This window comes from Homo sapiens, chromosome 13 (genome assembly GCF_000001405.40).
Source record: "Homo sapiens chromosome 13, GRCh38.p14 Primary Assembly".
Taxonomy (NCBI): domain Eukaryota; kingdom Metazoa; phylum Chordata; class Mammalia; order Primates; family Hominidae; genus Homo; species Homo sapiens.
In genome coordinates, this window is record NC_000013.11 from 60,452,434 (window position 1) to 60,464,830 (window position 12,397).

The following is a 12,397-nucleotide window of genomic DNA, read 5'->3' on the forward strand; positions in this document are numbered from 1 at the left end:
TAATTTTTAAAACACCATTTACAACAAGAATAATATATTCTTACATTATTCTGTATATTCTTTTGAGTTTTCTCTATAAATTTGCCTTTTCTTGGTATTTCACGTGAATGGAATCACATGATATATAGCCTGTTGTATCTGGTTTCTTTCATTTAGTGTAATATTTTTTAGGATAATCGATAACATAGCATATGTTGATAGTTTTTCCTGTTTATTGGTGATTAATATTCCATTGTATGGATATCCCACATTTTGTCCTTCCACTTACTATTAGTTTGGTGCAAAAGTAATTGCAGTTTTTTCCATTGAAAGTAATGGCAAAAACCACAGTTATTTTTGCACCAACCTAATAGTTTCTGGACATTTTGATCACTGTTCTTAGTTTTTTTTTTTTTTAATTACTAAATGTATATGTCTCTTATTACTGTTATCAGTTCTTAAATTGTTGGTTTGTGCCTTTACTCTTTGCTTCTTGATTACTCTTGTCAGTTATCAGTTTCATTAGTCTTTGTTACAATAGACTTTGTTAATGTTGTTATTGTATTTTTAGTTTGATTCATTTATTTTTCTTCTACCTGATTTGAACTCACTGCTTTTTTTCCTCAACTTCTTAGTTCAACTCATTAGTTTTATTTTTTCAAAAATAGGTTTTAAGATATACCAAAGAAACTATGCAATACAAAAGTTTAACGATGAAGTTAAAATATATAGCAAAAGCTAAATATGACAATACACATGAATAATGTATATAATAAGCCTTTCAATACTAGAAAACTAAAATGGGAAGAACTTACTGAAGGGTAACATACATAAAATGGGGACTAATAGCAAGAAACAATCCTAAACATTTTCCCAATGACTGACTAAGCCTCAAAAAGACAGCTTAGGAAAACGAGTAACATGTAGTTTTTCTTTTCCTAGCCAATTCAGTTCTACTTAGATAAATCTGGTTACCAATCAATACATATATAAATTAGAGTAATTGTTTTTCTACTGAATTAGTACCAGTTTTTCTTTTTCACCTTTTCCCTAATTTTCTCTAGCAACACTTTCCTTTAATCAGTTGAACTCAAAAGGTTTGGTACGTAAAATGAATATCAGCTCTTATTGGAATAGCACTTGGGAAGTGCAATTCTAGAAAAGGCAAATGTTTAACCGAGGTTCTTGACAAAGTTAAGCATCCCATTCTCCATAAGACAGTGACTCCCATGTTAATCACTAGGTTAATGGCTGCTCTTGGCTAGATCACAAGACCCTGCAGGATACTGGAATGCTCCCTGGTGAGGTACTGTAGAGCTATGTGAACAAACACCCACCCATTTAAGCTTTCAGTAAATACAAAGCATTTTAAACCATTTCAGTAGAATAAATTAAAAATACGGCATTTCTATTGGCCTGCTTTGCTTCTTGAGCTGGCTTGGAGTGCTGTTCATGATATAAAAGACAACTTCTTAATTCAACTCATTAGTTTTTTTTGTTTTTTTTTCAGTTCTCTTTAAGGCTATCAATTTTTCTTCTAGCACTGATTTAACTATACTCCTATATTTACATAGGAAATATATGTGTATTTACATATTTACAAACATAACTTTATATTCAGGTATAAAGGTTTTATACATGGTACTTTCATTATTCAGCTCTAAATATTTTTCAATTAACCTTATGATTACTTCTTTCCCTATTTTGATTACAGAATATTAGGTTTGTTTTGGTTACGGATTTCTAATTCAGTTACGTTGTGATCAGAGAATTTGGACTGAATGATAGCTGTATTTTGAAATTTGTAGAGTCTTTATGGCTTGATATGTATTGGTAAATGTCACATGTATGCTTGAGAAGATACTTGTTCCTATTGGGTTTAAAGTTTTGTATAAATTTTCTAGTTTAGGCTTATTATTTTGTAGTCTGTGTTTGATACTTACAAATTCTCAAGTCCTTAGGGGCTTAAAATTTTTTTTAATAATTTTTTTTAATATTTCTCAATCTTCGTAGCTTGTTTCCTTGTAAGTCTCATGATAGTTTGTTATGATTTCATTTTTCTTGATCTTTCTCTGTGAGAATCCTGGCCACTTGAATCAGAAATGCTTTTTTGTTTTGTTTTGTTTTTAGAAGGGATATGTGCTTCTTTCTGCCTTGAGCTAGTGGGGGTGCTACTTGACTTACAGTGAGTTAAAGTGCTGGCTAAGGTTAACTTTGCCCCTTGGCCACCAGCCCAAAGCTGAAACTCTTAGTTGCAGTGTTGTTACTGCCAGAAGCAAACATCTTCTTTGGAGGGAAATGTAGCCCAAATTGGGGTTCACCCTAGATGCGTACATGGATGACATTGGGAATGTTTCTGAAATTTCTAACAATGTATATTTCTTTTTTTTTTTTATTTTTGTTTTCTTGGGTCTGATACCATACGTAGAATGGTACAGGGTGTATGTGACAAATCAGACTTTATTTTTTTCTCTCTTCCTATCCCACCTCTATTGATTGATTGGTTGATTGATTGATTGAGACAGAGTCTTGCTCTTGTTGCCCAGGCTGGAGTGCAGTGGCGCGATCTCGGCTCACTGCAACCTCTCCTTCCCGGATTTAAGCGATTCTCCTGCCTCAGCCTCCCAAGTAGCTGGGATTACAGGCGCCTGCCACCACGCCCGGCTAATTTTGTATTTTTAGTAGAGACGGGGTTTCACCATGTTGGTCAGGCTAGTCTGGAACTCCTGACCTCAGGTGATCCGCCCACCTCAGCCTCCCAAAGTGCTGGGATTACAGGTGTGTGCCACCACACCTGGCTTATATTTATTTATTAAAGTCAAATTGTGTTGAAATGATACTAAGAGATGTTTTGACAGAGAAAGTAGGTAAAAAAGAGGTCGTCATAAGTGCTATTTAAAGCTTATCTTTCAGGCTTTTAAAGCAGCTATAGGCAGAATTAGTATTTCTTCTTCCAAGGCAGCTTTCTTGAAACATTGCCCTGTTAAGGGCAATGGGCCTTAAGGTAAAGATGTGAATAATTTAGTCAAAAACCTCCCTTGAAATAAAAGAATGGATGAAAAAATGATCCCTAGGAAATCTCCCCTGAAGCCACTGGAAATGCTTTTGGAAGTAGTGATGGGGTAGAGAAGGAAATGAATTAAGACTTTAAGTAGATAAAAGAACTATGGAAGATTAAACTATTTCATTTTCTCTTAATTTTAATCTACTTTGCAATAATGGTGGAACATTGATTGGAACTGAATCACACTCATATATTCCTTTTGGGTGTATGGTTTGTTTCTAGGGTTGATGGAGAGTGTGATGCTTATGTTGTTAGGTATACAGATTGAGAAATTTCTTTCTCAAGAGAATTAATAAGATTACAAAAACAGGCCAGGTATGGTTGCCCACGCCTGTAATCCCAGCACTTTAGAAGGCCAAGGTGGGTGGATCACCTGAGGTCCAGAGTTCGAGACCAGCCTGGCCAACATGGTGAAACCCATCTCTACTAAAAAAGATAGAAAAATTAGCTGGGTGTGGTTGCTCACACCTGTAATCCCAGCTACTAGGGAGGCTGAGGAAGGAGAATCACTTGAACCTGGGAGGCGGAGGTTGCAGTGAGCCGAGATCAAGCCATTGCACTCCAGCCTGGGTGACAGAGTGAGACTATGTCTCAAAAAAAAAAAAAAAAAAAGATTAATGGCTGGCATGTATTTTCAGGTTAAGTGTCTTAAATGGTTTCTAGAGTTAAGAAAAAAAAATTGTTTTAAGTGTTTATCCAGATGTGATTATACTGTAGAGAATTAGTCCCCTGTCATCCAAACTTTGGAGTCTGATTGATAGACAAGAATGTTATTTAGTATGATCAATAAATTAATAAATTAACACAACCATTTAAATCTGATATTTCATATCCGTTGGTATGACTAGTTAGGAGTTTAGATGACAGAGGTATTCGTCTACCTCAGGAGAAGAAGGAATGATGCCTGGATTAATGGCCTGAGAGAATATTTCTAGCAGATACTTAATATTGTTTGTTAGAGTTAGACATGCTTACCTGGAGGTGCAATGATACATCTTTCTAAGCCACTAAAATTTTTTAGAGTAATTTCTTTTGATTTTTTCTTATTACTAATACAAAAGAGAAAATCAGACATTAAAGAAGACTTGGGTGATCAAGATTAATCCTTTTTATTATTTTCATTTGAAATTGGTATTTTTTTTACTTTGGAGTTGCTCTTAACAGTAGTTGAAGAAAGATTTAGAAATTAATTCTTGTCTATTTTTGTGGATGTTTTAGATGACTTTTTTTGAGACACCTTTTTGTGTGTATGTGTGTCACCTGGGCCAGAGTGTAGTGGCGCAATCGTGGTTCACTGTAGCCTCCACCTCCCAGGCTCAAGAGATCCTGCCATCTCAGCCTCCCAAGTAGCTGCGGCTACAAGCACACACCACCACGCTTGGCTAATTTTTGTATTTTTTGTAGAGATGGGGTCTCCCTATGTTGCCCAGGCTGGTCTCAAACTCCTGGGTTCAAGCGAGCCACCCACCTCCATCCTCCAAAGTGCTGAGATTACAGGTGTGAGTCACCGCACCCAGCCTTAAGATGATTTTAGATTCAGGATTTAGGATCTTAGAACCATAACATTTAAAAAATTTTATTATGTATATTTTATCTAGGTCCATTACTTCCCTATGTTTTAACTACAGAGTATAAGAAACTGAATATTGTAAGCAGAATAATGAAAAAAATCGTTATATTTACTGGTTTACTCATAGAATATTTCTGAATTGTGGAACTACTAACTTAAGGCTTGATGATTCAAATTAAGAAGTGACAAGAGATTCTGTAAAATCTGTGGGTTTCTCAGGAGGATCTAATAAATAATACCTCCTTTCTACCTTGCTTTTGAACCAGTTAACAAGTACAAGAGTGGCATATGTGGGCCAAAATAACTTTATTACTGATTAAAATGTATTTTGAAGATGTGGCTTAGTGGGACAGCCAAATGGACGCATTAACTGAACCACAGAACATGTAGGCTTGTACACTCACTCGTAGAAGTGCCAATCCGGTGAGGAGGCTGAATAAGTGCCCCCTCCCTCATGTTCCCTAGCTAGGCTAGATCTCAAGAGGAAGATGAGTGAGGCTGAGGCCAATATACAGTATTTTCTTCGCAATCAGGTAACTCATTCCATAAGTGGGTATAGTAGTTATCTGAGGCTGCTGTAACAAATTACCACAAACTTGGTGGCTATAAAACAATGGAAATTTATTTTCTCACAGTTTTGTAGGCCAGAAGTTTAAAATTAAAGTGTCAGCAGGGTTGGTTCCTTTTGGAGGCTCTGAGGGAGTATCAGTTTCATGCTTCTCACCTAGCTTTTGGTAGCTGTAGCAGTCCTTGGCCTTTTTTGGCTTGTAGATGCATAACTTTAATTTCTGCCTTCATTTTCAAATGGTCTTTATACTCTGTCTGTGTTTGTTTCCCCTTCTCTTCTAAGGACACTCGTCATTGGCTTTAGGGCCCACTGTAATTCACAGTGTTCTCATCTTTAGATCCTTACCTTAATTACATCTGAAAAGAGCCTTGTTCCCAAACGAGGTCATATTTATAGGTTCTAGGTGGACTTGTCTTTTGGTGGAGCCACTATTTAACCCACTAAAAGAGGTGGAGAGGCCAGGAGTTGGATTAATTAAATAAGTAAACTTGCTGCTTGCTTGGAAATCGGCATTTGGGGGCAGGTGTTCCTCCTTATCCTTCATTCCCCAGATCTTTGTTCTCATAGTCAACCAGATGTAGGAGATCACCAAAATAGTCCTATTCCTGCCCTGTGTTTGCATCAATGGCATTGTCTTCAATTTGTGTTCCTTTGACAGAATCTTTTAAAGTGACATGTCCACTTTGTGAGCAATAGTGAGTAAAACTAGGTAATGTAATGCATGTGTCCATTTAACTGTACAAAGAAAAGGCAGTTTGTCACAACACATTGAAAGCAAACAAGAGAAGGTGTCATGTCAACACCCAGGGGACGTAGAACTCCCAAAATTCCATGAAGATGCCTAGTGACCTGTGTTGTATGGATTGAATAAGGGTGCCATGGTTGCTCCAGATATCGAATATTGGTAAAGTTGGATTTTTTTGACTACTAAACATTAAATAAAAGCAAATGTTTCCCTCCTACATTTGAATGGAAGTGCGGTGCCTAGGATGCATGAGTCTCATTTTGGAACATGTAGGCCTAGATCATCACCAACTGTGTGATGGTTTTTTTGCAATGATGAAAGTGGTCTAACTCTGTGCTCTCCATATATAGAACACTTGAAATATGGCTAGTACGATTGAACAATTTTTAATTTCACTTAATTTTAAGTGAAAATTTAAATAGCTACATGTGGCTGGAGGATTGTATTGGACAGCATAGGCTAGATATTTGTCAATGCCTAGGCTAAAAATATGGGATACCAAAATAAACAGAATTATGAGCTATAATAACCATAACATGCCTGTGATTTAATTTAAATGTCCTTATTTTAATGGCATTAACAAAAGCCAAATAAAAAGTTCATCCTGAATTAGCAGCTTATCTATACTTGTTAACAGTTTCGGACTTGCTTCAACTTGGAATTTTTTTTCGTAAGTGAAAATTAGATGAAATTTTAGATTATCTTTTCCAATTATGTTCTCTAGGCCTAAATTTATAATAACAAAATTACTCCTTTTTTAGGCAAAATACTGATAAATATGGAGTAGAAATTTTTCAACTTAGGAACATGCTTGCTTAGGAAATGTAGTGTAAATATTTGTCTATCATTTCACATTTCTCTTTGCTGAAAATATAAATTAATATGCACAGAAAGATTTTACTTAAAAGCCTATTTTTAAAACAGCCTTTTTCCCCTAAGGTATGATACTACTTAAAGATGTAGAAGTTGCCACTTTAGTTAAATTTACTTTTCAGACACGTAAGCAGATTTTACTGTTATTTCTCAACTTTGCTCTAAGTATATTTGTTTTATTTTTATCTTTGATTGAAATTTGGCCAACACATATAATACAGCATTAGATTTAATATCGAAGTTAAAGTTTTTATTTTAAAAAGGAAAATGTGAAAATATGTCAATTACAACTCATACTTCTTCAACTTTTTAGTTTTGGTGGTATTGTATGCTTCATGTATACCAGGAGAGGGAGCACTTTAAACTTGATGTCTCTGAACAGAAAACACTCTTTTGTTGTTGTGTTGAGACGGAGTCTCGCTCTGTCATCCAGGCTGCAGTGCAATGGCTTGATCTCGGCTCACTGCAACTTCCATTTCCCGGATTCAAGTGATTCTTCTGCCTCAGCCTCCCAAGTAGCTGGGATTACAGGTGCATGCCACCATACCCAGCTAATTTTTGTATTTTTAGTAGAGACGGGGATTCACCATGTTGGCCTGGCTGGTCACAAGCTCCTGACCTCAGGTAATCCACCTGCCTCGGCCTCCCAAAGTGCTGGGATTACAGGTGTGAGCTACCACACCCGGTCCAGAGAGCATTCTTTTGGATTGCTGCCATAAATTTGATTCACTTAAAAAAACTGCAAAGTTCTTTATTTTCAAGGTGTCCCTTAATGTAAAAGGAGGGAGAAGTGGGATTTATGGGTATGATTTAGAGTGCATAAGACTAACAACAGCAATAAATATACCTTTCATCCAGAAATATAACTGTTTTCCTAGGGTTTTCTTTTCTCATTACCTTCTGAAAATGAATTCAGAATTATTAAAACAAAATTGTTCTTCAGGAGACCTTTTTGAAGTTTTCTCTTTTAATACCAAAACAAAGAAAAAACTTGATAATATATAATTTCAGTTTCAATCTTAATTGAAGTTATTATAAATCATAAAGCATGACTATTAAGGAAAAGAGAAACACTATAAATGAAAACACAGCCCTGAATAGAGTTTCATGACTAGAAAGTGATTTTTATTCTTTTCTGTTTTGACAGCTCGAAGGTCCATGTGTTTTGCAAATTCAAAAAATTCGCAATGTTGCTGCACCAAAGGATAATGAAGAATCTCAGGCTGCACCAAGGATGCTGCGATTACAGATGACTGATGGTCATATAAGTTGCACAGCAGTAGAATTTAGTTATATGTCAAAAATAAGGTGATTGGCACTTTATTTTGTGTATTTGTTACAGAATGTTGAAGGTGCTATTCAATTGGAATAACTTAAGAATTTTGAAAAGTAGGAATGGACCCTTAATTGTGTGTTACAGTTTTTCAGATGAAATTATAGAGCTTTTCTGCATTTCTGCTTCACCTGTATAAAAATAGTTAAGAATATATGGCCAGGCGTGGTGGCTCAAGCCTGTAATCCCAGCACTTTGGGAGGCCAAGGGGGACGGATCACCCAAGGTCAGGAGTTCAAGACCAGCCTGACCAATGTGGTGAAACCCTGTCTCTACAAAATACAAGAATTAGCCAGGCATGATGGCGGGTGCCGGTAATCCCAGCTACTTGGGAGGCTGAGGTGGGAGAATAGCTTGAACCTGGTAGGCGGAGGTTGCAGTGAGCTGAGATCATGCCATTGCACTTCAGCCTGGGTGACAGTGGGACTGTGTCTCAAAAATATATATATATAAAATAAAAATAAATTAAAAAATAGTTAAGTATATAGTTACTTCTTGATTGAATGTTAATTATAAAATGAAAGTAATCTTTTCAGTTTTGTCAGATACTTTAGGTCACTCAATTGTTAGAACAAACAGAATTTTTAAAAATACGGTTTCATCCTTGACAGTTCAGTAGTTGTGTGTATAATAGTGTGTTCATCACACTGTTTAATGTTCTTGCAGAGTTTTATAGGCTAATAAATTTTCCTAGGAAATGATTGAAGTCAGGGAGGTTTGTGATTGACTTTAGTCATTTCCTAGGAAATCATTGGGAATGATTTTCCAAACCCTTTGTTTGGTTATTTTAATAAGAATCTTTTAGAGCCATGCCCAATGGAATGGACGAAAACAATGAGAAGGAAGGGAAATTGTCCCCTCTATTCTTGATATTTCCATTTGGCCATTCTGAGCTCTGTTTTCTGAGGTGGAAACTTTCACTAGACATTTGCAGCCCTCCTCCCACCTGCCTTTTTTGGTCTTCTTTGTCATTTTATACACTCACGTTTGCAGCTCGGGCTCCTCTAAGCTTTTTCACTTAATATAAACTTGTATACCATACTTTTCTCTTGAGCAGGCATTTATCAGGTGTTCCAGCCCTTTAATCCAGTGCTGGAGGTACAAAGGTAAATGAGGTTTAGATTTCAGCCTCTTAGTAGCTCATATGCTAATTAAGTAGGCACGTAGGCATACAAATATTGTAAGACATATATAAACTGAGAGGTCTAAGAGTCTCAAAAATTACTTCTGCCTGGGGTAACCAGGAGTGGGGTTAAAATATGAGTAGGTATTTTAAGGTGCAGGGAGGGAATAGCACATGCAGAGACACAGTGTTCTGACAACAGAAAGAGTGAGAAGTTACATTTGGTGGAGCTTAGGTGATTTAGAACAGTGGGTATGCGAGAGGAAATGTGGTAGGTTGAGGCCTTGTATGACCTTTTCAGTGATTTCCCTTCTTTTTTCTTCTTTCATCTGGTGTCTGCCTCTGGTAAATGAGGCCCCCTCCTCAGAAGATATGTTTGTCGAAAATGTTGATTTCTATATACAAAGGGAGATTTGTTGACATTGTGATTATATTCTCTTCTTTTTGAAGAGTAGGATTCGTACTTTTGTGTAGAAACAGCTTTTCAAATTCCTATGACGAATTCAGTCACACCCCTTGCAAGGGAGCTCACAGATGACTGAGAAGAAAGACTTGCCATGTAATGGCTCATTCTCTGATTTTATGGCTGTATATTTCTCTGAGGAATAAAAACACAAGGTCAGCCCTGAGTGTCACTGCCCAATCTGCCCAGTGCTGTCTACTGTCATCCCTTGTTGAATTTATTGCAGCTTGAAAACTGAAAAAATTAATCGTCGTATGCTCTTCACTCATCATTGAAGCAGCATGCCTACTTTTGGTGCCGTAAAAATGGCAGCTGACAAAATAGTTCTTACAGGTAAACAATTTGGAAGACATTATACAAAATAAGTTTATAGTTATCTTAGAAGGAAGGTGAAACAACTCTCTAGATGGGATAAACCAGGTGCTAATACGGATGTGTTACCTTACATGGGCTTTGCATTTCTCTGCGGTGCTTGTTTCTACTTTTCTGTCCTACCTCCTGCCCTGCCCCTTGCTAGTTTTTATTATTATTATTATTATTACAATGAAGTGAGATTAAAGGAACCTTTGGGTGCCAATGAAAATATTAACCAAAATATACTTTCTGAATAAGAATTAATTATGGTTCTGAAGGTGATAGTAAAAATTGTATTAAAATTTTAGTCCCTGAGTAAAAAGAACAAAGCTGGAGGTATCACGTTACTTGATTTCAAACTACACTACAAATCTATAGTAACCAAAACAGCATGGTACTGGCATAAAAACAGACACATAGACCAATGGAACAGAATAGAGAACCCAGAAATAAATCCACATACTTATAGCCAACTCACTTTCAACAAAGGCATCAAGAACATACATTGGCAAAAGGATAGTCTCTTTAATAAATGCTGCTAGGAAAACTAGCATATGTAGAAGAATGAAATTCCCGTCTCTCACCATATACAAAAATCAACCTAAATGTGGCTGGGCATGGTGACTCATGCCTGTAATCCCAGCACTTTGGGAAGTCAAGGCGGGCGGATCACCTGAGATCAAGAGTTCAAGACTAGCTGGGCGAACATGGTGAAACATGGTGGCACACACCTGTAATCTCAGATACTTGGGAGGCTGAAGCAGGAGAATCACTTGAACCCAGGAGGCAGAGTTTGCAGTGAGCTGAGAACACACCATTGCGCTCCAGTCGGTGTGACAAGAGCAAAATTCTGGCTCAAAAAAAAAAAAAAAAAAAAGATAAGACCTAAAACTATGAAATTACTAGAAGAAAACATTGGGGAAATGCTTCAAGACATTGGTCTGGGCAAAAATTTTTTGGATAAGACCTCAAAAACATAGGCAACATAAGTAAAAATAGAAAATTGGGATTAAATCAAACTAAAAAGCTTCTGCACAGCAGGGGAAACAATGAACAAAGTGAGGAGACTACCTACAGAATGGGAGGAAATATTTGCAAACTATCCATTTGACAAGGGATTAATATCCAGAATATATAAGGAGCTCAAATAATAGCAAAAAACAAAAAAACAAAAAATCCAATTAAAAATTGATAAAAGACCTGAATAGACATTTCTCAAAAGAAGACATACACATGGCCAACAGGCATATGAAAAAATGCTCAGCATCACTAAAACTACAATGAGAGATCATCTCACACAGTTAGAATGCCTATTATCAAAAAGACAGAAGATAACTGCTATAGTTTGGATATTTGACCCTCTAAACCCTATATTGGAATTTGATCCCCAGTGTTGGAGGTGGGGCCTAGTGGGAAGTATTTAGGTCATGGAGGGGCAGAGCCCTCATTAATGGCTTGGTGCCATCCTTGCAGTGAGTGAGTTCTTTATTACTTCCTGTGGGCGCTGGTTGTTAAAAAGAGCCTGGCACCTCCCTCTTTTCTCTTTTGCTGCTCTTTTCATGTGATCTGCATATACCCCTTTGCCTTCTGCCATGAGTGGAAGCAACCTGAAACCCTCACCAGAATTGGATGCTGATGCCATGCTGCTTGTACAGTCTGCAGAACTATGAGCCAAATAAACCTTTCTTTATAAATTACCCAGCCTCAGGTATTCCTTTATAGCAACACAAATAGACTAAGACAATAGCAAATGCTGTTGAGGATGCAGAGAAAGGGGAATGCTCAAACACCACTGATCGGAATGTAAATTAGTGCAACCACCATGGAAAACGGTATGGCGGTTCCTAAGGAAACTAAAAATAGAAATACCATATGATACAGCAGTCTGACTGCTGGATATATATTCAAAAGAAAGGAAGTCAGCATATTGAGGAAGCATCTGCACTCCCATTTTTATTGTAGCACTATTCACAATACCCACGATATGGAATCAACCTAAGTGTGCATCATTGGTTGAATGGATAAAGAAAACATATGTATGTATGTATATGTGTGTGTATACACATACACACACACACATACACACACACACACATACACTGGAATATTATTCCGCCATAAAAAAGAATGAAATCTTGTCATTTGCAACAACAGGGATAGAACTGGAGAGCATTGTATTAAGTGAAATAAACCAGGCACAGAAAGACAAATATTGCATGTTCTCATTCATGTGGGAACTAAAAAAAATTGATCTCCTGGAGATAGTAAAATGGCAGCCAGGAAGGATAGTGGGGAGTGAGTGATAAGGAGGGGTTGGTTAATGGG

The 12,397-nt window shown here is 36.8% G+C and overlaps 1 protein-coding gene across 14 annotated transcripts in view; it reads left to right on the plus strand.

Annotated features, from left to right (window-relative positions):
* The window catches only part of TDRD3 (tudor domain containing 3), a 178,347-nt gene that overhangs the window by 56,901 nt on the left and 109,049 nt on the right, over positions 1 to 12,397 (plus strand). For all 14 annotated transcript variants that reach the window (XM_047430685.1, XM_024449417.2, XM_005266560.3 and 11 more), the window contains exon 4: positions 7,947 to 8,107. In XM_047430685.1, the coding sequence (XP_047286641.1) occupies positions 7,947 to 8,107 (161 nt within the window). The remainder of the gene's footprint in view (positions 1 to 7,946; positions 8,108 to 12,397) is intronic.